The 25968-nt window shown below is 39.6% G+C and overlaps 1 pseudogene, besides 5 other annotated features; it reads right to left on the minus strand.

The window, feature by feature from the left end:
- Positions 1-10853: 10853 nt before the first annotated feature.
- Positions 10854-11586, minus strand: PPIAP80 (peptidylprolyl isomerase A pseudogene 80; annotated as a pseudogene).
- Positions 22650-23617: an enhancer, noted in NCBI's record as "OCT4-NANOG-H3K27ac-H3K4me1 hESC enhancer chr7:28330425-28331392 (GRCh37/hg19 assembly coordinates)". NCBI's record gives its function as "activates a minimal SCP1, AML or CMV promoter by ChIP-STARR-seq in naive and primed H9 embryonic stem cells {active_cell/tissue: H9 hESC(naive and primed)}" and the evidence as "EXISTENCE:reporter gene assay evidence [ECO:0000049][PMID:30033119]".
- Positions 22650-24585: a biological region, named in NCBI's record as "OCT4-NANOG-H3K27ac-H3K4me1 hESC enhancers GRCh37_chr7:28330425-28331392 and GRCh37_chr7:28331393-28332360".
- Positions 23414-23708: a silencer, noted in NCBI's record as "tiled region #8220; K562 Repressive non-DNase unmatched - State 24:Quies". NCBI's record gives its function as "represses a minimal TATA promoter and a strong SV40 promoter by Sharpr-MPRA in K562 cells {active_cell/tissue: K562}" and the evidence as "EXISTENCE:reporter gene assay evidence [ECO:0000049][PMID:27701403]".
- Positions 23618-24585: an enhancer, noted in NCBI's record as "OCT4-NANOG-H3K27ac-H3K4me1 hESC enhancer chr7:28331393-28332360 (GRCh37/hg19 assembly coordinates)". NCBI's record gives its function as "activates a minimal SCP1, AML or CMV promoter by ChIP-STARR-seq in primed H9 embryonic stem cells {active_cell/tissue: H9 hESC(primed)}" and the evidence as "EXISTENCE:reporter gene assay evidence [ECO:0000049][PMID:30033119]".
- Positions 24586-25551: an enhancer, noted in NCBI's record as "NANOG-H3K27ac-H3K4me1 hESC enhancer chr7:28332361-28333326 (GRCh37/hg19 assembly coordinates)". NCBI's record gives its function as "activates a minimal SCP1, AML or CMV promoter by ChIP-STARR-seq in naive H9 embryonic stem cells {active_cell/tissue: H9 hESC(naive)}" and the evidence as "EXISTENCE:reporter gene assay evidence [ECO:0000049][PMID:30033119]".

Genomic DNA, 25968 nt, shown 5'->3' on the forward strand with positions numbered 1-25968 from the left:
GTCCTTTGCCTATTTTTATTTCATTTTTATTTATTTATTGTTTGAGACAAGTCTCGCTCTGTCGTCAGGCTGCAGTGCAGTGGCACAATCTTGGCTCACTGCAACCTCCACCTCCTGGGTTCAAGCGATCGATCCTCCTGCTTCAGCCTCCCAAGTAGCTGGGACTACAGGTGCGTGCCACCACACCCAGCTAACTTTTTGTATTTTTGGTAGAGACAGGGTTTCATCATGTTGGCCAGGATGGTCTCAATCTTTTGACTTTGTGATCTGCCTGCCTCGGCCTCCCAAAGTGCTGGGATTACAGGCATGAGCCATTATGCTCGGCCTCTTTGCCCATTTTCAAAATCAGGGTTTTTGTTGTTGTTGAGTTGTAGGAGTTCTTTATGTATCCTGGATATTATTAACCCTTATCAGAAATATGAATTGCAAATATTTTCTCCCTGCCTTTTTGTTCTGTTCTCTGTGTTTTTTGATGCACAGAAGTTTTAACATTTTTATGTAGTCCAATTTATCTACTTTTTTCTTTTGTGGACTATGCTTTCAGTATCACATCCAAGTAATCACTGTGAAATCCATTGCTATAAAGATTTGCTCCTATGTTTTCTTCTGAGAAATTTTTAGTTTTAGCTCTTATGTTTAGGTCTTTGATTGATTTTGAGTTAATTTTTGTATGTGGTATAAAATAAGTCACTAATATTCTCTTCAGCTATGTCTAATTTCTGTTTAACCGATTCACAGTTTTAACATTTTAACAATTATTATGTTTTTACTAAAAATCTAATCTGATTATTTTATGAATCTGACTGGCCATTTTGATATTTTTTCCTTGCTTATTTGTAAATACTTCATTTTTGAATTTAAGAAACATTTCCATATGGTTATATTTTGTGCGGATAACTTCAATATCTGAGGTCTTTTGGAGAAGGGGTTCTAAATATGCTTTTTTTGTGGTTTCTGTGAACTCTCACTCATAGTGTCTTGCTTTCTTGCATGTTTGTTGATCTTTGTTTATTAATTCATATTTTATCTAGTCAATTATTCTATTCATTCAGTGAATAGATATTGAATGCATACTCTCTCTAGCCTTTGTTTGTATGTTGGGCATACAGAAGTAAACAAAGTAGATAAAATCCCCTTCATGGAGTTTACATGAGGGAGAAGCAGAGGGAGAGAGAGAGAATAAACAAGATAAGTATGTCAAATATATAATATGTTATATGATGACAAATTTTAAAGATAAATTAAATAAGTGGGATATAAAGTATGAAGTGTTGGGTTATGGGTTTTTTGTTTGTTTGAAAAGTTGGATAGGATGGCCAAGAAGGCTTCATTTAGATGAATTTTGGGTAGGCGTCTCAAGTGAAGAATCTAGACAGGCAGATATTTGGGAGAACATTACATGGAGAAAATAGTAGGTGAGAAGACCCTAAGGGCTCTTGAGTTCCAGGTGACAGTGAGGGGCAGAGTGGCTACATTGGTGAGCAATGGGGGACAGACTAGGAGATGAGGCCAGAGAGGCATGGAGGACCAGATTATATAGAGTCTTGTAGGTCAAAATAAGGACTTTGGCTTTCATTCTGAATGAGTTGGGGAGCCACTGGAGTATTTTGTCCAGAGGAATGACCACTTTAGCTTATGTTTTAACAGACTCATTTTGGCTTCTGTGTTGAGAATAGATGACAAGGAGGTACATGTAGAATCAGTGCACCATCTTGGAACCTATTTCAGTAATACAGACAGGACATGAATTGGCTTGAAGCATGGTAGTGGCAATGGAGATGGTGAGAAGTTATCACATTTTTCTACATCTATAGTTTTAAATTTTAAGGTGGAACCAACAGGATTTTTAGGATTAGATGGGGAGTGTGAGAGAAAGGGAAAAGTTCAGAATAACCCCAAATGGGCCTGAGCAACTGGAAGGATGGAATTGCAAGGAACTGAGATGAAGGAGGCTTATGGGCAGAGAGGTTTGTGAAATGAAAAGAGGAAGTCAAGAGCTCAGTTTTAGACATGTTAATTTTTGATGTGATTAGTCACCCGTTTGGGGATGGCCAGTAGGTGGTTTCATATATGAGTCTGGAGTTCTGGTAGAGATCTAGAATAGAGATATAAACTTGGGAGTGTTGGCATAGAAATGGTACTTAAAGCAATAAGATTGGATGAGATTACTAAGGAAAAAATATAAAAGAGAAGAGGTCTAAAGTCTAAGCCCAGGAACTCTCTAAAGCTTAGAAATCAAGAAAATGAGAAGGAACCAGAAAAAGGACCAAGAAAGACCAACCAGGAAAGTAGGGGAAAAAACCAGACAACTGTGGTGTCCTACAATCCAAGTGAGGCAAGTGAATCAAGGAATGTCAAATGCTGATGACAGGCCAAGTAATATTGATAGCAGTGGTATTTGGGTCCCTGAGGTTCCTGGCATCTCCAAGCTTCAGGGTGCCACTGTGTTCCCTGGTGCCAACTGTGGAAGCTGCTTGCGGTGCACCTGGTCCAGCTGCAGCCTTGCAGAGAGCTGGCGCCTGTGCTGGCACCTGGAGCTGCCCGCTCCGCTGCAGCAGCTGGCACATATGACTGTGCGGTGGCCAGACCCCATACTCGCTTACACACCCCCTACCGCTCCACGCAGTCTCCCTTGGCAGGCGTGGGATCCAGGCTGGTACCATGAGTCAAAGGAAACCTGCCAGGCTGAGTGGACAGAATGAGTCCAGCGGGCCTGAGCAGAACTCGGGCAAAGGTGTCACTGGCCACAGAGGTTTCTGGCCAGAAAAGCAACACCCTAAAAATTCTGTGACAATATGAAGACTAAGAAACATTAAATGGATTTAGTGACATCAAGGATATTTGGGACCTTGGTAAGAGTAGTCTTAGAGGAGTCATGGGGATGAAAACCTGATCAGAGTGGATTCAAGACAGAATGAGGTACACCCATGTTTCTGGCAGCATTATTCATAATAGTCAAAAACTAGAAAGAACGTGAATGTCTATCAATGAGTGAATGGCTATGCAAAATGTGGCATATACGTACAATGAAACACTATTCAGCCTTAAAAAGGAAGGAAATTCTGACACATTCTACAACATAGATAGAACTTGAGGACATTATCCTAAGTAAAATAAGCCAGTCACAAAATTATAAATATGGTAAGATTCCACTCATATGAGGTACCTCGAGCAGTCAAATTCATAGAGATGGAAAGTACAATGTTGGAATGAGGAGTTGTTTAATGGGTGTAAGAGTTTCAGTTTTGCAAGAAGAAAAAGCTCTGGAGATTGGCTGCAAAATAATGTGAGTATACTTGACACTACTGAATTGTACACTAAAAAGATGGTACGTTTTATGTTATGTGTATTTATCATAATTAGAAATTTAAAAAGTTAAAGAAATGAGAAACAGAAACTGGAGACAGAAAGTATAGAATCTTTTGAGGAGTTTTTCTGTGAAGGAAAGGTGAAAAATCGAGGTAGAAATAAGGCCAAGAGTGTTTTGTTCTTGTGAACCTAGGTTGTCTGTTCATATTTATGAAGAATTATGTTTATTAATCTAAGAATGCTTGCATAGATTCCTTCTTTTTTAGTGGGAAAATTGAAGAGAGCAGGGTGTGCATATGAATAGGTCTGAGTTAGGAATGTCCAGGTGAGAGATGGGCCGATGAATTTTTGCATTTAAATAAATGGAGTAATAATATTATCTACACCTGGGGTAGTGGTGATTATTAAAAAGTGCATGAAAAGTATTTTCTTGAGCAGTTAGTGCTGAATAAGTGGTAGGTACAATTATTATTTGTTTTTCTTCATTATCTGTTACTTGGAAAAGGCAAAAGTTAAATCTTTACTTTTAAATGTGTGAATTAGGAGACAATGTTAGCTATTTTATTAGAGTGACTTATATGATTAAACAGATTTAGTGGAGATTCCTTTGTCCATATCCCTTATACTTTTCTATTTGATTCCTGGATCTTTTATGAGGGAGTTATAATAAACAGGAATTTCCCCCTTCAAATTTGATTTGGTTGTGTTTTGCTATATAGGAAAAAATAAAACAGACTATGTTTGTAAAGCAATGGTTGCTTGTGAGCTAGAAAAAAAAAAAAAAACTCCATCTGAAAAGAAAAATGTATAAATTTTCCTGATCCTTTACCATAGAGAAAAACAAAAAACAAAAAACACAATTTGCTTCGACCTTTTTGAAAGACCCTAGTTATCTAGGCTCCAAGAAAAAGGCATGCTCAATTTTGTGAATCACCATTTTATGTGAACAAATTGAAGTCTTTATAGCATTCTTAATTTGGTTTCTGAAAGACATTTAGATAATTGGGCAATTTACAAAAGAGTATGTTCTATTTGGGGCGAAACCTGCTTTTCCTTTGGGTTGCAGATTCTCTGCCCCCTTGTGGCCTTCCTCCTTCCTCTGGGGGAGTGCGTGTTTAATGCTACTGCGTTTTGCATTTCCAGGCTGGTTTGAGAAGAGCGCGGCTGCCTGGTTCCCTGAACACCAGACGGGTTGCTAATTACATTTGCCCAGATGGCAAAGGGGGTCCCTCAGCCTACGGACTTAATTTCGGAAATTTACTTTCAGAGAGAAGCGAGAGAGAGGATTGCTTTCCAAATTAAAGAGAATTATGTTACAGGCATTTGATTGTGTGAGGAGACAGAATCACAGAACAGGAAGGAAATCCTCAGAAGTTATTTAATCCAATCTGGACTCCAGAAGACATTCAAGACAGATGGGCAATCTCCTAATCTCCATGTTTTGTCTTCCTGTCTCTTTTTGAAGATAGTGAAAGGATTCTTTTAAAAAACATTATTTATCAGAAATATATTTATTTTAAGATATTTGGAAAATGTTGAAAAATATAATGTAGACAATAAAAGTCATCTATAACCCCATCACCCAGAGATAGTTACTATTTAAGGGTTTAACTCCTCTTCATATTTTTTGACAGAGAAAAATGAAATATACAGTTTTGCATTGTATATATGATACATGTTTTCAGATGGGAGCAGAGACTGGCAAAATATGGCTTGTGGACCAAATCCAGTCCACATTCTGTGGGCCTGTATTGCCTGTAAGCTAAGAATGGTTTCACATTTTTAAATGGTTGAAAAAAAAGAATAACATTTCCTGACATGTGAAAATTACATAAAATTCAAATTTCAGTTCCTGTCAATAAAGTTTTATTGGAACACATGTATATTCATTTATATATATTTCTGTGGCTGTTTTTGCAGCACAGTGGTAGAATTAAGTAGTTGTGGCAGAGACTATATGTATTAGTCCATTCTCACACTGCTATAAGGACATACCTGAGACTGAGTAATTTATAAAGGAAAGAAGTTTAATTGACTCACAGTTCCACAGGGCTGGGAGGCTTCAGGAAACTTACAATCATGGTGGAAGGGGGGGCAAACATGTTCTTCTTCACAAGGTGGCAGGAGACAGAAGAATGAAGCAAAGTGGGTAAAGAGCAAAGCCCCTCACAAAACCGTCAGATCTTGTGAGAACTCACTATCAGGAGAACAGCATGGGGGAACCACCCCCATGATTCAGTCACCTCCCATGAAGTCCCTCCCCCAACATGTGGGGATTACAATTTGGATTACAATTGAAGAAGAGATTTGGGTGGGGACACAGCCAGACCATATCACTATAGCACTATAAAGCCTAAAATATTTACTGTCTGGCCCTTTACAGAAAGTTTGGCAACGCTTGGTACAGAATAAGCATTTTCTAATACCCTTAAATGCTTTTCAAAAATAGACAGCAATGCTGGGCATGGTGGCTCATGCCATAATCCCAGCCCTTTGGGAGGCCAAGACAAGAGGATTGCTTGAGCCCAGGAGTTTGAGACCAGCCTGGGCAACATAGTGAGACCCCATTTCTACCAAAAATTTAAAAATTAGCCAGGTGTGATGGTGCACACCTATAGTCCCAGCTACTTGGGAGGCTGAAGTGGGAGGATCCCTTGAGCCTAGGAAGTTGAGCCTGCAGTGAGCTGTGATTGAGCCACTGCACTCCAGCCTGGGCAACAGAGAAAGACCCTGTCTCAACAAAAAAAACCAAAATTATTGCTCATATAATTTTGTGGATGAATTCAACTTTTATTCCCTTAATTCTCCTGCTTTTAAACATTTCTTTTACAATGGTCCTTTAAATAATATTCATTATAAAAAGTTAAAATATACATAGAGAGTACAATATGGCCATATGTCCATCATCCAGATTCAATAATTACCAAGATTTGGCCACATTTAGTTAATATTTCCCTTTGTTGAAATATTTGAAAGTAAATTAATAGAGATTGTACAATTCCATCCCACTTGAGCAGTCATTTTTTAAAAAAAATTATAAAACAATTTGCCAGAGAATCAGGTTCAAAAATATTATAAAACTAGTCCATGTTCATGATGAGTATTGAAGCACATAAAAACAACACAGAATGTGTAAATACTTGAAGTAAAAAGTAGAAATCCCTTTTTCACCTCTCTTCACCCCTCCTCCCCTGCCAGTTTAGTGGGTATCCTTTCAGTTATTCTCTTATGTATATAGGAATAAATTTTTTATAACTTAGATTAACTGTTTAAAACATAATTTTGGAATAAAGGAACAAGAGAAGAAACTAGAATGTGAGCGCATATGACAGCACTCCAGATTGGTGCCTTAATTGATGGAGAGTGAGGACTGGGCCCCTTCTAAGTTACTAGTTAGGGTAGGATACGTTTTCTTCTTCAAATAGCACTGATCACCAAGAAACTCACATCAGAAACCAGGAATGGGAAGATGATATTGGTGTGGACGCTCCTTTTACTGCCCCTTGCCACCTCCCCACTTAATTTCTCAGGTAACAGGTGGATACATATAGTAAATTCGAGAGACCCTGCTTTAGGCTCCTCCAAATGAGAGTCACTGTATATAATCACCTTATTACTTTTTGCACTTCTTATCTTAAAAGCAAAACTCAAATTTAGAGAAAGTCTGCAGGAATAATGTAATAAATTGCTGTATATCCACAACCCAGATTCACTAGTTACTACTGCTATATTTATTTTCTCTCTATATAAATACTGATATTTATTAATATTGTTGTTATTGCTGAAGAATATGAGAATAAATTGTAGACATCATGACTCTTTACTCCTTGATCTTCCAGTGTGTAAGTGCATTTTTGGGGAAGCTTCTTCTTTTTTTTTTTTTTGAGACGGAATCTCGCTCTGTCACCAGACTGGAATGCAGTGACGTGATCTCGGCTCACTGCAGCCTCCACCTCCCGAGTTTAAGCGATTCTCCTGCCTCAGCCTCCCCAGTAGCTGGGACTACAGGTGTGTGCCACCAAGCCCAGCTAATTTTTGTATTTTTAGTAGAGACGGGGTTTCATCATGTTGGCCAGGATGGTCTCGATCTCTTGACTTTGTGATCCGCCCGCCTCAGCCTCCGAAAGTGCTGGATTACAGGCGTGAGCCACTGCACCTGGGCTAGGAATCTTCATTTTAATGTGTACTGAAGTCTGGGGCAAGGACCCTCAGGGTCTGCTGGATGCAACATTTCCATGTACAGTTCATTTGAGTGGTTTGTGGAGTTATCGGATCATTTTTATACTATAAATTGACAAATTACACAGTCTCTTCAGTTGTTTCATTTTTATAAAAGAAAACTATTTCTTATAGAAAATAAATTTTGCAGGGATTCTGTAGTGTTAGAATTGGAGTAAATTTTTCTCATTCTGGTTTTTCTTTTTCTGAAACATATACATAGTTTTAAAAAATAACCGCTTTATTAAAATATTACTCCTCTAACATAAAATTCATTCTTTTAAAGTACATAATTCAGTGGGTTTTAAAAAATATGTTCACACGTTGAATTGTCATCACTACTTAATTACAGAAAATTTTCATCACCTCAAAAAGGTACCTGTCAGCAGTGATTTTTCCTTCTCACATCTCTGTAGTCTCTGGCAGTCACTCATTCTGTTTTGCGTCTCCATAGATTTGCCTATTCTGGACATCTTATGGAAATGGAATCATGTAATATGTAGCTCTTTGTGTCTGATTTCTTACGTTTAACACAATGTCTACAAGTTTCATCCACGTTGTAGCGTGTATCAAAACTTCAATTAATATTCTTCTATATGGGTATGTTACATTTTGTTTATCCATTCATCAGTTGGTAGACATGCACATTGTTTTCACGTCTTAGCCATCATAAATAATGCTGCTGTGGACATTTGCATACAAGTTTTTTTGTGTGGAAATATGTTTTCGATTCTCTTGGGAATATACCTAGGACTGGAATGGGTCATTTGGAAACTACGTTTAATCTTTTGAGGAACTTTTCTGAGAAACTGCCAGCCTGTTTTCCCAAGCAGTGTACTATTTCACAATCTCACTAGCAATGCATGAGCATTCCAGTTTTTCATATCTTTACTGAGATTTGTTATTGTCCACCTTTTTGATTATAGCCATCCTAATGTATATGAAATTTCACCATAGTTTTGATTTGCATTTCCCTAATGACTAATGATGTTGAGCATCTTTTCATGTGCTTATTGGCCAAATTGTGTATCTTCTTTGGAGGAATGTCTATTCAAATTCTTTGCCCGTTTTTTAGTTGAGTTATTTGTCCTTTCATTGTTGAGTTTTAAGAATTCTTAATATATTCTGGAGACAAGTACCTTATCAAACATATGATTCATAATATTTTCTCTCATTCTGTGAGTTGTCTTTTTATTTTCTTGATGATGTTTTTTGAAGCACAAATGTTTTAATTTTAATAAAGACTAATTAATTTTTTTCTTTTGTTGTTTGTGCTTTTGGGATCACATCTAAGAAACTATTGCTAATCCAGGGTTATAAAGATTTATGCCTATGTTTTTTTCTAGGAAAGTTGTATAGTTTTAATTCTTATATGTAGATCTATGATCCATGTTGTGTTAATCTTTGCATACGGTATGAGGTAGGGACATATGATATTTTAAGAATAAAGATATTTAAGAAAAAATATTTCAGAATAAAATGTTTTTAAGAATAAAAAGTTTTAAAAATAAGTTTATGATCATAATGAACTTTCAAAGTCCTAACATTTGTTGTTTCAAAATTTGTATGCCTGTAGCCTAGAAATTTAAACTGGTCATCATTAGACTGAATTAGAAAAAGATATACAAAAACAAAGTAAGCTTTTTCCTTTTTAAAAAGATCAAATAATGTAATTGTCAGATGGCTGCTACCTGTGTATTGTTCCATTAACTATGTATATGCATGTGGTTTTTTGGTCCTCCCAACAGCCAATCTCATTTATTCACAAGAAAGCTAAAACAGTCATAAAGATCTAGGTGATAAATTTTAAGCCAACAGGCAATTCAAAAATAACAGGATTGTGAAATATCCAACTAAAATCATATTTGAAAATGGTCCAGGAATCCCCAAATAACTTTTATGCATGTTATATGAAGATAAATGGATTTTAACGTTTCTGGTTTTCATTTTCAGAGGTCATAGACATTAAAAAAATTTTTGATAATGAAAGGATATTTATTTCCATGTTGTGCTCAGGCCTGAGCTAAAGTACATTAAGACATTGAATGATGTCACCCAGGGATATGTAACCAGACAACACACAAGACTGAGATGAACAAGTGGTGGTGGTTGTAGAGGGGGTTGCATCGGTAATTCACGCAGAAGGAACCAGGCAGACAGTAAAACAAAAATTTGCAGAACACACCAAGTGATCAATTCTCACATCTTCAGGATAGGCAAACTTGATTGCTGGGTTAAGAACCTTAGAGGTCAGTTAAGGTGGGCAGTGGTGGGGTTTTCTCAGCTTAGATTGTCCTCTGATATGTATATTTCAGCCTATACATCTAATTGCCAGCACTGTACATTTAATTTCATGAGAAACCAAGTCCTCAATTAAGGGAAGGGAATCGCTTTGACCAGATCTTATGGCTCAGATTCATCAGGCTGGCAAGACCTCAAAGTTTCCATAATCAAAGCTAGGGAGAGGCTCTATATGCTAGAAGCAGTAACTAGTCACTGCATGTGGTCTGGGCCTTAACCCTCTACAGGGAGACTGACTACAGCACCAGGTACCTGGCTTTTCAGTCTCTACATAGGAATTCCACCATAATTAAAAGATATATAAACTTGACCTACGTCCTCCAACTCAAATTACTCAAAGGGCCCAAGACCCTTCCCCATAGAGCCTAAAGCCCAATAGCCTTCCCTCAAGGAATACCAGCAGTGTTCAAGTTAGGTTTGTTACAGAAAATGAGCCATAACAGATTTCTCAGTTTGTGACACTAGTCACCTTGAAGAACACCTCTAAATGCAAGAACTCATTGAGCACTGGTCCAACCTCTAATTTCTGGCTCCTTGCTTTTCCTGCCCCTGCCTACCTTTAAGAGACAGAGTCTCACTCTGCCACCCAGGCTGGAGTGCAGTGGCATGATCATAGCTCACTGCAGCCTTAACTCCTGGGCTCAAGCAATCCTCCCAGGTCAGCCTCCTGATTAGCTAGGCCTATAGCATGCACCACCAGGCCGGGCTAATTATTTTTTGTAGAGACAGGGTTTCACTATGTTGCCCAGGCTGATGTTGACTCCTGACCTCAAGTGATCTTCTGCCTCAGGTTCCCAAAGCTTTGGGATTACAGGCAGTGAGCCACCATGGACAGCCCCTGCCTACATTTTCAATATTCCACTCAACAAATAACATTGAGACTTCCTGGGTCTGGAAAGTGAAAAAAAAAACTGAGTACTGTGTAGAATTAAGCAAGCATGTAAGTAACGTTTCAGAAGTAACCTGTTTCTGCTTCAAGTAAGGCCTACATCAAAGCCCTAACTCAAACAAGGACAGACAATTGTTATTTAGTTTTTATTTCATAATCATAAACTTAACTCTGCAATCCAGCTAGGCATGGAAGGGAACGAAGAAAACATGGAACCCAAAGGGAATTGCAGTGGAAGCACAAAGATTCTAGGATACTGCAAGCAAAAGGGGTGCTCTCCTGAGCTACAGAAGGAATGGTCCAGTGGTTAAGACAAAACACAAGTCAAACTTACCAGAGCTGTCCACAGTCAGCAATGGTGGTCTTCTTGCTGGTCTTGCCATTCCTGGACCCAAATTGCTCTATGGCCTCCAAAATATTCATGCCTTCTTTCACCTTGCCAAAGACTACATGCTTGCCATCCAACCACCCCGTCTTGGCAGTGCAGATGAAAAACGGAACAGTTTGTGTTGGGTCCAGAATTTGCCATGGACAAGATGCCAGGACCTGTACGCTTTAGGATAAATTTCTCATCTTCAAATTTCTCCCCGTAGATGGACTTGCCACCAGTGCCATTATGGTGCGTGAAGTCACCACCCTGACACATAAATGCTGGTATAATTCTGTGAAAGCAGGGACCCTTATAACCAAATCCTTTCTCTTCAGTGCTCAGAGCACGAACGTTTTCTGCTGTCTTTGGAAACTTTTCTGCAAACAGCTCAAAGGAGACGTGGTCCAAGGGCTCACTGTCGACAGCAACGTCGAAGAACATGGTGTGGTTGACCATGGCTGATAGTACTGGGACTCCTGGCGGCAGTAGCCTCTGCAAAGCCGGTCATAGAAATTTGAGAGTTTCTGCTAGATGTATGTTTTAGCTACTTATTTTTATATTAAGTGGTAAATTCTTGACTGTAGGTACCTTGTCTTAATCCCCTTTGTTTTTATTTTTTTCTGTCCCCAGGGCAGCCGTGTTTGCTTTTATGGATTGTGTAGCACACAGCTCTAAAGAGTGCCTAGGGTTGAACAGTGCACGTCTGTCTCACTGTACAGGGAAGCCCGGACCGTCACAATAAACTGCAGGCAGCAAGTCTTTTTATTTATTTGCTGAGTTAAAATGATTCCAGTAAGTTCCCTCTAAAACCACCGCCAGATTTTTGGTGGGAAGAATGCATTGGAGACAGGCATTAAACACTAGTCCAGGTTAATATTTGCATTGAATGCCTCTCTTATATCTTTTAGCATACATTAAAATGGATCCTAGCCTTGTTCTAGTAAAACCCACGACTGAGTGAACCAAGGATGAGACTGCCGGCTTGTAGTGCACACTCTGCAGGGTGCCAGGAGGCTGGCTTCATCCATGTTGCCATGTTTCCTAAGGAATATCTTACATCTAGAGGCTACGGTGTCTCACATTTTTGTCCCTAGCTATCTACCTTGTGTGTACCTTGCATTCCTTCCTTTCAGCATGCAGAATTGAACTTGGCTCTGAAGTAAAACAATACAGGTTTTTGAGTGATCCAGCAGCTGTTCTACTTTGGTGAGAGTTTTCTTCTCCACCCAAGTCTTGTTTTCCATTTCTCTCTCCATCACTTTCTCTTGTACCCCCACCTCTTCCAGCTTACTCTACCCAATTACCACGCCAGAAACAATTCCTATCTCTTTTCCCAAAGAGACACTTCCTTTATTCAACTGCTTAAATAAATAAAACAAAGTTTCCCTTTCCCCTGAACCACCTGCTCAAAATACAAGCGGGAGACCAATTATAACCCAGGAGACAAATCCCCTTTGAACAGCTGATCCAGGGAATGGATTTGGAGGCTTATCTTCGGTCTGAATCACAGGGTCATGCCAGGGTCATCCCTAGAGCAAATTGTCCCCTTGGCTTCCACTGAGCTTACCCTGAAATGTGCACACTGGGTCTCTTTTCCCATGGATTATGAAGCTATTTGGTGAAGGCTGCCCATTTGATGTACTAATCAGTATCTTGACATAACACATGGGAAGAGTTTTAAAGTTTGCTTTTGCACTGCAAGGCTTCTAGGGTATTTTCTAATTATGTCCTTGTAATCACAGACAAAAGCCTGTGACTGTAAATCTGAAAAAATGACTTCCAAAGCATAGGGCAGTGCTTCTCAGACTTTCATGTGTATACACATCATCCAGGGATGTCATGTAAATGCAGGTTTTAATTCCCTAGGTCTAAGGCAGGGCCTGAGATTCTGCATTCTAACAAGGTTTCAGGTGAGGCTGACGCTGTGGTCCGCTGGACTGCACTTTGAGGAGACCCTACTTGATGGACAGTCAGCCAGGAAACTTTCAGTTTGAGGCATAATTACTGAAACTTCATATTCCTTAACGACTGCCCAAGGGCCTTGAATGGTAGACACACCTGTGTTTGGTAGACGCACCTGACAGTGATAACCTGACTTCAGCATACCCTGAGAATGACCCTGCATGGCAGATGCACACAAACGTGTATTTGGAGTTCCGAGCTAAGGAATCCAGAAGTTGCCAACCTGGAGATTCATTCCTTATCTATGAGGAATATCTGAGCCCCTCGCCCATCCCAAGGAACACAGGCTGTACAGGAGATCAAAGCCCTGTGTTTTAGGTTAAATGAAGGTTACCAGTTGGAGGTTGTTAGGAGGACGGTGCTAAGTGAAAACGCTGTTTCGACTGCATGCTTCTTACAAGCGGCTCTCCTGCCCTGTCTGCTGCCACTGGGCAGAGCAGTTCTGTGTAGCCCACTGTCACTGGACCATCCCTGTATGTAAGTAAGTTTCTCTCAACAAACCCCATGTCTGCTTTGCTGGCTCTGGGTCTCTTGTTCGGGCTCTTGAAGCTGGTGCATTCCCTATTGGAGTTGAGAGGGGTCTGGCATGACTGATCTCCTCTCTACAACTGCCCAAACTTCGCTGAGCATTCTTTATTTTTGCCCCCTTCCCCTAGTTCAAATGTTTTATTGTTGTAGTCATCATCTGAATGATATTTATTTGTTTACTTGTCTGCCTCCTAGACTCTGAGCATGTAGGGATAAGACAGCCAACTCTCATTCATCTTTGGATCAAGGGCACCTAGAACAGCATCTGGTACACACACACACACACACACACACACACACACACACACACACACGCACAGATACACACACACACAGAGTAGGCACTCAACAAATACTGGATAAAAGAAAAACTGATAGATTAAATTGACAAAATTAAAACCTTTTATCCATACCAAACAACATAAACAGGATACAAAGGCAAATGATAAACTGAGAAAGATATTTGCAGTGTATTAAGATCTCTTATGAGTTGTTATGGTTTGAGTTGGGTCTGTCAAAAGATACGTTACAGTCCTAACCCCCAGTACCTCAGAATGGGACCTTATTTGGAAATAGAGTCATTGCAGAAATAATTAGTTAAGCTGCGGAGTAGGGAGGGCTCTTAATCCAATATGACTGGTGTCATAAGAGGAGGAGACATGGACATACAGGGAGAACCTCATGTGTGGATGGAAGCAGAGATTCGACTGATAACAGCCACAGGCTGTGGAACACCTGGGGCTGCCAGAAGCTGGAAGAGGCAAGGAAGGAACCTCCCTAGAGACCTCAGCAGGAGTATGGCACTGCCAATGCTTTGATTTTGCACTTGCTGTCTCTAGAACAGTGAGAGAATATATTTCTGCTGTTTTAAGCCACCTAGTTTGTGGTATTTTGTTACAGCAGCCCTAGGAAACTGATACATAAGCAACAAGAAAAAGAATGATCTAGTAGCAAAGGGGGCAAAAAACCCAATCATAGGTAGTGCACAAAAAAATGCAAATTGCTCATAAATAAACAATGTTCAAGGGCTAGTAATCAAAGCAATGCAAAATGAGCACAACATTGAAATGCTATTTTTATCTTATTATATTTGTTATTTTAATTAGGAAAAAATACAGTGTTGTGAGTTTAGGACAACCAGGCCCTCTTCTGGGCTTGAACCACCAGTAGCTGTTGATATGATCTCCAAATATATCTTAAGTAATTCCACTTCTCTCCACGTCTTCTGCCATTGCTTCCTTCTAAGACATCATTGTCATTGCCGTTTACTTTTTTTTTTATTATTATACTTTAAGTTCTGGGATACATGTACAGAACGTGCAGGCTTGTTACATGGGTATATATGTGCCATGGTGGTTTGCTGCACCCATCAACGCATCATCTACATTAGGTATTTCTCCTAATGCTATCCCTCCCCTATCCCCCCACCCCCTGACAAGCCCCAGTGTGTGATGTTCCCCTCCCTGTGTTCATGTGTTCTCATTGTTCAACTCCTGCTTATGAGTGAGAACACACGGTGTTTGGTTTTCTGTTCTTGTGTTAGTTTGCTGAGAATGATGGTTTCCAGCTTCATACATGTCCCTGCAAAGGACATGAACTCATCCTTTTTTTGGCTGCATAGTATTCCATGGTGTATATGTGCCACATTTTCTTAATCCAGTCTATCATTGATGGGCATTTGTGTTGGTTCCAAGTCTTTGCTATTGTGAACAGTGCTGCAATAAACATACGTGTGCATGTATCTTTATAGTAGAATGATTTATAACCCTTTGGGTATATACCCAGTAATGGAATTGCTGGGTCAAATGGTATTTCTGGTTCTAGATCCTTGAGGAATTGCCACACTGTCTTCCACAATGGTTGAACTAATTTACACTCCCACCAACAGTGTAAAAGGATTCCTATTTCTCCACATCCTTTCCAGCATCTGTTGTTTCCCAACTTTTTAATGCTCACCATTCTAACTGATGTGAGATGGTATTTCATCGTGGTTTTGATTTGCATTTCTCTAATGACCAGTGATGATGAGCTTTTTTTACATGTTTGTTGGCCGCATAAATGTCTTCTTTTGAGAAGTGTCTGTTCATATCCTTTGCCCACTTTTTGGTGGGGTTGTTTTTTTCTTGTAAATTTGTTTAAATTCTTTGTAGATTCTGGATATTAACTCTTTGTCAGATGGATTAAAGATGTAAACATAAGACCATAAAACCATAAAACCATAAAAACCCTAGAAGAAAACCTAGATAGTACCATTCAGGACATAGGCCTGGGCAAAGACTTCATGACTAAAACACCAAAAGCAATAGCAACAAAAGCCAGAATTGACAAATGGGATCTAATTAAACTAAAGAGCTTCTGCACAGCAAAGGAAACTATCATCAGAGTGAACAGGCAACCTACTGAATGGGACAAAATTTTTGTTGTTGACTTTTTAGACTGCTGAATTAATCTAAATAGTGTTGTTACTTACCTTGCTTAGAGCTGCCAGAAGGAATCATTAAAAAACATTATTAGTCAGACCACATGATTCCTCTGCTTAAAACCCTTCAGTGATAGCTTTCATTGCAGTTAGTGTGGCCCCTGCCAAGCTCCCATCTTCTCTGTCACTGAACTTCAGACCCGTGGCTTCTTTCAGTTCCTTTGTGGAGCTCTTCTTGTGGGGCCAGCAGACATTGCTAGTCCCTCTCTCAGAATGCTTGTCCTGCCACTCTTCACCTCCTGGTCTTAGCTTCAGTGTCCCAGTGGAACTTCCTTGGCATTCCTCCTCGAGCTCTGCCTAAGTGAAGTCACTGTATTATATTTTCTCATGGTATTCTGTTGGTTTTGCTCATGATTTATTACTGTCATGAATATTGGGTATTTGCTTATTGTCTCTCTCTCTCTACCTGTATTGTAAACTCTATAAAGGCAAGGACTGTATTTATGTTGTCCCCCAACTGTAACTCAGACTTAGGTATAGAAGCAAACAGATAATAGGCAATCAATGTATATTTGCTTACTGAATAAATGGAGATTAACTTGGCAAAAGAGGTGAAAAGCCTTAGAAATGTGTATATCCTTTCAATCAGTAATCCTATTTCTAGGAATGTATTTTAAGAAAATAATTAGGGATGTGTGTCAAGACTAGTCACATTGCAACTTAAATAACAGTAAGATAAATTTTAGCAATGTATTGGGAACAAAAATAAGTATCTAAAAATGACCAATATAATAAATTATGATTTGTACATTCAAAGTAATATCACATAGGTAATCAAAGTGGTGTTGTAGAAATATATTTATTGACATATAGTTTCAGTAAGCATATATTTTTGTAAAAATAAAATATATATATATTTATATTTTTCTCTAATGCACAGAAGAATATTTAGAAAACTGTATACCAAAATATTAATTGTGGCTCCTTTTAAAATTTATTTAAACTTATTTAAAAATTGTATTATGTGTATTTTTAAAACATTCCATAAAAAGAATATTTCTCATATTATTAGAAGAATAAAAGTTTTTTTGAGTGAATGAGAGTTACCTGGAATGTTTGGTCTGAATTTCAAACTTTCATTCCTACAAAAAATAAAATGACTGATATAATCAAAAAGATACCTTCTAGGTTTCAGATGCTGTCATTCACTTCCACACAAGCTTATGCTGTGAAGGAAGACATCCCATCTGCAGTTAAATCCCAGGTCATCACTCTTTTCTATGGTTGAAAGTTTATTCTGTATTTTTTTGTTGGATAAACTCTTTCTTTTATGTTGGAGTTTTTTTTCATCTTAGGTTTTGGGTGAGAATTGAATGTAGAAATCTGCAGTTTCTCCTGTCAAAGGAATTTCAATACTTTGGTAGGCATCCAAACAACACATTCTACCATATAGACCAAATATTGTGTCAAAAAATGGGCTCTGGATCAAATTTATGAAAACATATTGGATGGATTTTATCATTTGAAAAGTTTCAGAGATAAAATTATATCTAATCTTAGATCTTCATTTCCTGATATGTCTTTACATTAGGAAGCCCTTAGGTTCTCTGGAGACCTTTGTTCTAACTTGGCAGAGGTGACCTGTGTTACTTCTTTATTTTCTCCTTGGACGTGGCTCCTTGGTTTTCATAGCCACTTGCAAGCACGATATTGGTTTGTTTCCAATCTCCAGATTCGACTGTGTTACACTATTTTTCACTAGAAAGAACAAGTTAAGGGCACACATTTGTTTGTGTATTTACTTATGTACACACACACACACACACACACAAAATTGACAATATAACATTGGGCAATTTTTAATCAATGTCTTGCAGATAATGAAGCTATATCTATTTTAAAAAGTGGTACGCACTCTCTCTTTCCTTTCTCAGAGTCTGAAATGCTATTACTTGAGAGAGTGGAGGAAGGAAGAAGGAATGATTTAGGAGGAACAAGGCAGGGTATGGGAGTGAATGGGTAAGGAGAAAATTCTTAGAGACACTGCCAAGTTCAAACTAAAGAAACCAATTAATAAAATAATTACTGCCCTTCCATGGCCCCTCTTTTGTGTACTCACAGCACTTACTCATGTGGGTAGTTATCATTGCTCACCCTGTTGCTATGATAAACTCCACTTCCAATGCTAACGACGTGTGTGACTGCTAGGCCTCAATGTCCTCAATTACATCTTTGTGAGAATCAAATGTGATAAGGCATAACACTCTTGGCATGGTGGCTTTAGATATTAACAACTCTTGCTATGTTGGTTGTGCTTCTATGTCTATCTTCATCAGGGGTTGTGTCTATTTTTCTGCATCCTCCTGGGTATCTAGCATCGTGATCACAGCATTACAGATGCTCACTGAGTATTCATACCATTTAAAAGAAATGTTCTGAGTGCAGTGGCTCATGCCTGTAATCCCAGCACTCTGGGAGGCCAAGGCAGGTGGATCCCTTGTATTCATAAGTTTGAGACTAGCCTGGGCAATGTGGCGAAACCCCGTCCCTGCATAAAATACAAATATTAGCTGGGTGTGGTGGGGCATGCCTGTAGTTTCAGCTATTTGGGAGGCTGAAGTGGGAGGAGGGCTGGAACCCAGGAGGCAGAGGTTGCAGAGAGCCGAGATCGTGCCACTGCACTCCAGCCTAGGCAGTCGAGCCAGACCTTGTCTTAAAAAAATGAATAAATAAAAGAAATGCATAAAGCTCCTGTTTTCACTAAAATGCATTCTAATCCAGGCTAACTCTATAGGAAATTACAACTTTTAATTTTCCAATTAACATTTTTTGGGGATGTGGTTGAATGCAAAAAGAATTAACACCTGTTTTTTTTTTCCACATGATTCATTTAATCATTTTCTTTCTATTTAAATAAAGGAAAACATTTGAATTTTGCACATTTTGACTTCTGTATTAGTCAATTTTCACATTGCTATAAAGAATACCTGTCACTGGGTAATTTATGAAGAAAAGAAGTTTAATTGATTCACAGTTCCACATGACTGGGGAGGCCTCAGGAAACTTACAATCATGATGGAAGGTGAAAGGGAAGCAAGGCACATCCTACATGGTGGCAGGAGACAGGCAGCATGAGGGAGGAGCTGCCAAACACTTTAAAAACCATCAGATCTCGTGAGAGCTCACTCACTATCATGAGAACAGCATGGGGGAAACTGGCTCCATGACCCAATCACCTCCCACCAGGTCCCTCCCTTGAGATGTGGGGATTACAATTGGAGATGAGATTTGGGTGGGTACACAGAGTCAAACCATATCAACTTCAATCTTTCATTATTCATGTATCTTCTTAACTGTTAGCCCCAGATTCCGCTAATTTTTATAATAGTAATTATGTCTCAGATTTTCTGGTTTAAATATTTAGTTTCTTTCTACTTTACTTTGATCTCCTCCTCCTCCTTTTTCTTTTAAAATAAAGACACAGCTAACCTAATGATTTTGCAATTCAGTATTCCCTACCCAGGACTGATTACATAAATTCTAGGTGTAGTAAAAAATAAAAATGCAGTGTCCCTTTTTCCAATTATCAAGAATTTTAGAGACAGCAACAGCAGAGCATTTATCCAAGTGTGGCTCCCTCTGAGCCCAGGGCCCTGTGAGACTGCATAAGTTGTAGGCCCATGAAATGGGTCTGTGCTGTGGGTCCTGTCCATAGCAAAGACATTGTCTTTGTACAGGGCAGTGATTAAGAGTGTAGATTCTAGAGTCATTAGATCTGGATTGAAGTCCTTGCTTTGCTAATTACTAGCTGAAAGGCCATAGGCAAGTTACTTATTTTCTCTGGGCTTTAGTTTCTTCACCTGTGGAATGGGGAAAATAGTATCACCAAACCATATTAAATGAGCTAAGATATATGTAACATGCTCTGGCATAGTATTGCCCAATAAATGTTTGCCGTGTGTGTGTGTGCATGCATGTGTGCATGTGTGTGTGTGTGTGTGTGTGTGTGTGTGTGTGTGTGTGTGTATTGTCCTACATTGTCCGATTGCCTGTAGGCATAGCATTCACATCTTTGAGGATTGAAGCTCCATCATTTTTCTTTCTCTTTCATTTATTGAAACAGCTTTTGTGTGTGTATCACAGTTGTTAAGAGTTAACCTGCTCCTTCTCAATCCCAAGAATTTCAAATGATACATAAAATCTTCATAATTTGTAACCACAAGTAAAAGTCAAATGCTCTAATTTACCTGCATCTTGAAGCAGTGTGGGTTAAAGGCACTAGAACAGCTTGGCCTGTTTTCTGTTTCTTGCTCTATTACCTGGTCTGTGTGGTATCACACAGAGTACTTCCCTTTGCTCTCTTTCCATTGCACAATGTATGCTATGTAACATTTCTACACCCTGATCTTTTCAATATGATATTTATTTAGTTATAGGTGCTATAGAAACAGACAGATCAAGGTGATAATCATGTCTCCAAAACCAGGCTGGTGATGAAGAGTGGGTCTGACCAACTCCAAATTGAACCCATTTTGAAGAGGGCTTTCCTGAAGGGAGAAATGCTCCATGGCTCATTGGAAGTGAATACAGACTTGTCAGGACTATGGCCTTGGAGCATCTGCCAGTGGTGCTGAGAAGACAGAGGTCAGGGACAAAAGCCTAAGCCAGAATGAAGTCTGTACCATTTAGTTGTTGATTGACCAAGTCCTTCCCTGGGCCTTTTCTTGTCACTTAAGACATCAGGATACTATTCCCTGCCTCAGATGGCTGTAATAAGGATTGGGAAAACATAAGGGAAAGTGTTTTGTAAACATAACCATAGCTCCTATAGTCTGTCACGATCTCAAGGAACAGCTGAGGAATATATGTCTGGCAGGTGAACAAAAATCAGTGCTTGTAATGATTCTTCCTTCAGGAGTCCCAGGGTCCAGAAATTTGCATATAAAGGAAACTAGTGACTTTGTGATTCAGAATATTTATACCATGAAACAAAAGCTGGTGCTCTGTAGTCAGATAGACTTGGATTCTGGTCCCTACCCAGCCATTTACCAATCGGGTGTCTTTGTGTAAATTGCATAAACGCTCTCAGTCTCAGCTTTCTCTTTGGTTAAATGGAACGAATAACAGTGCCTTACGTGGTCATAGGATTGTCCTTTTACAGTTAAATGAGATAATGCAAAGCCAACCACTTGGTGCTGTGGAATTGCAGCTTGCAGACCACATTTTGAGTGGAAGAGTCTAAATTACATACAGTGACAGGGGCAAGTTACAGTTTGTTATGACCAGCCCAGCAAGCATTTTTCCAGGAATGATTTGGAACAATCCCATCACCTGTGGAACACTCACTTTGGCTCAGAGAGTCAAAAAGAGTCTTTTAACTTTATTCCTTCACAAAACAAATTAAAAATCAGTAGCCACGGATCATTTCCAAGGGGGCCTTTAAACACTTCTTGAAAAAGAGCTTGGCATGGCTTTAGGCAGCTTTATGCAGGTTTTAGCTGCATTTTAACCTATAAAAACCAACTTATGAATCTATGAAAACCACAGTCAAATTAGATACATTTCAAAAATAATTGAGGTCAGAAGTAGCTCTTCTAATTTTCTTGGGCCATTACAGCATTGGATTATGAAAGAAAATTGTGACTGTGAAATTGAGGCCTTCTCGGGGTTTATTCTGAAGACAGCCAAGCTCGATCTTTATGACCATGGCCTCAAAGCAGTTGAAGCTATTCTCTTCTAATATTTAATGTTGTGGTACTTTCTTCAGATCCCCCATTCAGGATTGAGGGGCTCATCCCCTCAACTGCCAAGAGCATGTTCATAGCTGGGTTTGTCCTTGGGAATGGCCCACTAATGGAAGAGAGCAGCCTTGACAAGGTCATGCCCATCCAATGGTGGGGGGAGGGGAGGGCTGGTGGAGAGGGAAGAACTCAACTTCTTGCCTGTATTTGGGACAACACTGAAGGGCTCCAGAGCCCCTCGAGCGATCTGTTGAAACCTTTATTGTAACTGCATCTCTGTTCAGTGTTACTCTCTGTCCAACCTGCCTTCTATAGATACTGTTTGTGTTACTCCCAGTAAACCCCTTACATAGGGAACCTGACCTAAGATACTTCTCTAGGATTACCTTCTGAGACTTCAATAACCTAAGACCAGTGGTCTCAGCTTGGGATAATTTTGGCACCTACGGGACATTAGGTAAAGTCTGGAGACATTTTTGGTTGTCACAAATAGGGCGGCAGTGGGGAGAGGGTGTTACTGGCATCTAGTGGGTAGAGGCCAGGGATACTGCTAAACATTCTACAATGCACAGGACAGCTCTGATATGGTTTGGCTCTGTATCCTCACCCAAATCTCATGTCGATTGTAATTCCCAATGTTGGGGTGGGGACCTGGTGGAAGGTGATTAGATCATGGGGGCAGATTTCCCCTTCCTCTTCCTGTGATAGTGAGTGAGTTCTCATGAGATCTGTTTGTTTAAAGGTGTGTAGCACATCCCCCTTCACTCTCTCTTCCTCCTGCTCCAGCCATGTAAGACTTGCCAGCTTCCCCTTTGCCTTCTGCCATGACTGTAAGATTTCTGGGGCCTCCCCAGCCATGCTTCCTATACAGCTTGTGTAACCATGAGCCCATTAAACCAATTTTCTTTATAAATTACCCAGTCTTAAGTAGTTCTTTACAGCAATGTAAGAATAGATTAATACAAGCCCCCACAACAAAGAACTATCCACCGCACAATGTAATAGAGTAGAGGTTGAGAAACCCTGGATTATATATGTTTTGATCATGGCTCTTTATTTCCAAGTATAAGAGGGAAGATGGAAAATAAGTGTTGTAATTCAAATTATCAAATAGTGCTTAAGGTGAGAAGAAAACCTATGATCATGAGCTCCAGCTTCCCTCCCCCAGCCTCATTTCTTCTTTCCATGTGGCTGTTGACTCCAGATACCAGTTTGCTCTAAAAATGCCCTCTGCAGTAAGGCCCCAGAACTTCTCCTATTGCCAATTACAGCAGACAACACTGGAAAATATGAAGCAGCACTTCTCATTAATAGTGTTTCTTTGCTTCCTTTTTTTTTGTTTGTTTTTAGAGACAGGGTCTTGCTCTGTTGCCCAGGCTGGAGTGCAGTGGTGCAGTCATGGCTCACTGCAGCCTCAAACTCCTGGGCTCAAGTGATCCTCCCACCTCAGCCTCCCAAGTAGCTACGACTAAAGGTGTGTGCCACCATGCCTGACTAATTTTTATTGTTTTTTTTTTTTTTTTTTTTTTGTAGAGACAAGTTTGCCCTATGTTGCCCAGGCTGGGATAGTGTTTTTTAAATGAGGTTTTTCCTCTGTCAATCTGCTTCTGCTACCCCATCCCCCTGGCTTTCCACATCAATAATGACTCTACTCACCTATTGCTTTTTGGGAAGGAATTTTTCATTAACTAAGAAATAGCTGATTTGCTCCTTGACTTAGTGCTGGGAGGTCTCATGCTTTCATGAACTGGAGCTATTTCTTGACCCAAATCAGGCCAGACTGAGTTTGCATTACAAACGTGCCACATTCAGCAAATAGTTGACATTGCAGACTGTGATTTGCCTTTGAAGGCCAATGCTGACTCCCCGAGGAATCAAAGCTTTCACCCCAGTGGGGGCCAGGCAGCTGGTGACTTCTGCATACTCCTCCTCTCCCATTTGTTCAGGAATGAGACACACTTGGGGGCTTAGACTACGGTTCTCTGAATTGTTTTCATTCAGAGGGTGAGGTGGGGGAAAAATATGTGGTGGCAGAAAATAAATGATGAGTCCTTTTTTGCGCATGTCAAGTATGAGATACCTATTAGCCATGAAGTAGAGAAAGTGGGTGAGAGGAAATGAGAGGTCAGGGACAGAGAGAAAATCTGATTGACATTGAACTGCCTGTGGGATAGAAGGAAAACTAGTAGATTGTAGGGTTAAGGACAAAGAGGGGAAAGTATTTTAAGAAGGAGGAGCTGTGTCTAATGCTGAAGAGAAGTTTTAGTAAAGTGAGAACAGAGAAAGAAAGTTAGATTCCCAAACTCAGAAAATTAAATGAGAAAGGAACAGGCAGCTAGGACACCCACTTGGCGATGGTAAGAGTTTGTGCCTTGGCTGCAGTATATTGATTAATAACAGTCTGCTGAAATGGTCTGTAAAGGTAATTTTGAACACCCTCTACCACTGTCCCCTGCCTTCACTTCCCTCATCTCACCCCAAATTGCAAGGCCCTGAGCTTTTCATCATTACAAGAGTGTTTAATGCCCTCACCTAACTAATCAAGAGGATTCCCCCAAGTGAAACAGAAAGGGAGACGTGACAGAACCATGGCCCTGAGTGATTTGTGCTCATGGTCCCTTGAGTTGCCTCCTTTCCACACCATGCCCTCACTACATTGGTTATGGGCAGGGCTGTTAGACATGGCGGAGTGGCAGAGCATTGGTATGAAGCCACTTTACCTCTTTGAGCCTTGGTTTATGTTAAGGGAGAGTTTGGGACTAGAGGATCTTTAAGGCCCCTTCAGGCTCCAATATTGCATAGATCTGAAGTGGTTCCATTTCATTTACCAGCAGTGAAAAGCAGCGTGCATTCAGCTGTTCCGTCAATTTAGTCAAAGCAACACATTTCCCCTTCTTGAATTTACCTTCAACAGAGGGGGAAATGTAGGCGGCATTATTCCCAGCATGTAGAAGCTCTGTCTGAGATTCTTAGTATTGCAGGGTACATTTACTTTTGCTAATGATCCCTGAAGCTGACTGGTTTCAATCGTGTGATTCGAGCAAAGCACAGACACTCTGATTTGCAATAACGATGCCGTGAAATCAATATCGAAAAACCTTGGGCTATATGAAACTGCTGCTACTCAGTGAATCATACTAGGCAATATTTCCTGAAAGATAATGGGTTTCAAAACCAAACATAAATCTTCAGTGACAGGTTGGCTATTTGTCATGTTTTCTGGTGGTGGAATTACAGCAGCTTCAATAAAATCCATTTGGTGGTTGGGTTTTAGATTAATATCTGATACAATCATGGTCTTAGGGCCACAAGAAGTAAAGCTTAGAGGGAGGGAAGCAAGTTTGCAATTATTGTAGGGTTCTAGTACCCCTTGTGCCAAATGTTGGCACAGAAATTGCTCAAAAATTACAAAAAAGCAATACAATGTGGGACTTTGAATACTAAGCACTGTAAAGTGATACTATATTCTTGAAATAGTAAACATGTCTTCCATATGTGGCTAAGTGTGCCCAAGACTGCCAACTGTAATGCAAAGCAAATTGATTTGCAACTGTTTTGTTCTCAACACTTTAACTCCTGGCTTTCCATTTGACTCCTTGACACAAAATAATTAACTCTACATTTTTCTTGACTTAGCAGAAATATTTTCCCCATGACAAGGAAAATGAAATTGATTTTCTGATTAAATGACTTCAGTTAGTCCTTCTGAGTTAATATTGCTTCCCTGTGACCGATGAGTCAGCAACATTTATTGAACCCCCACTGGGCAAAAAGTATTTACAAGGTGTTACATGAATCTATAAGAACAATAACTTTCTGGCCTTCCTAACCCATCCATGTTTGGAATTAAGCAGCTATTTCTGTCTAGATGCCAGGTTGACACCTAATTCTCTCAATATTGTGGAGAAAGGGAAGGTTGTCTTGACAACAGTGTGGAAAAAATCAACTTGAAAAATTTATTTAACCCAAAACTGTAGTCTTAGCAATTGAATGTGGATGCCAGTTCTCTTGGTAATTTAGGCCAGTATCAGGATGGATACCTCTTTTTAAAACAATGAATAAAATGATAGGTAACATAGTCACAGGTTACAAAAACTAGGAAAGTACAAAGGATACACAGTAAAAATCCTCCATCCCATCCCAGTCCCTCAGGTGCCATTCCAGTCCCCATAGGTGTCCACGGTCCCCAGTTTTCTTTTATGTCCTTCCAGAGATATGAAATGCATAAACA

This window comes from Homo sapiens, chromosome 7 (genome assembly GCF_000001405.40).
Source record: "Homo sapiens chromosome 7, GRCh38.p14 Primary Assembly".
NCBI lineage: Eukaryota > Metazoa > Chordata > Mammalia > Primates > Hominidae > Homo > Homo sapiens.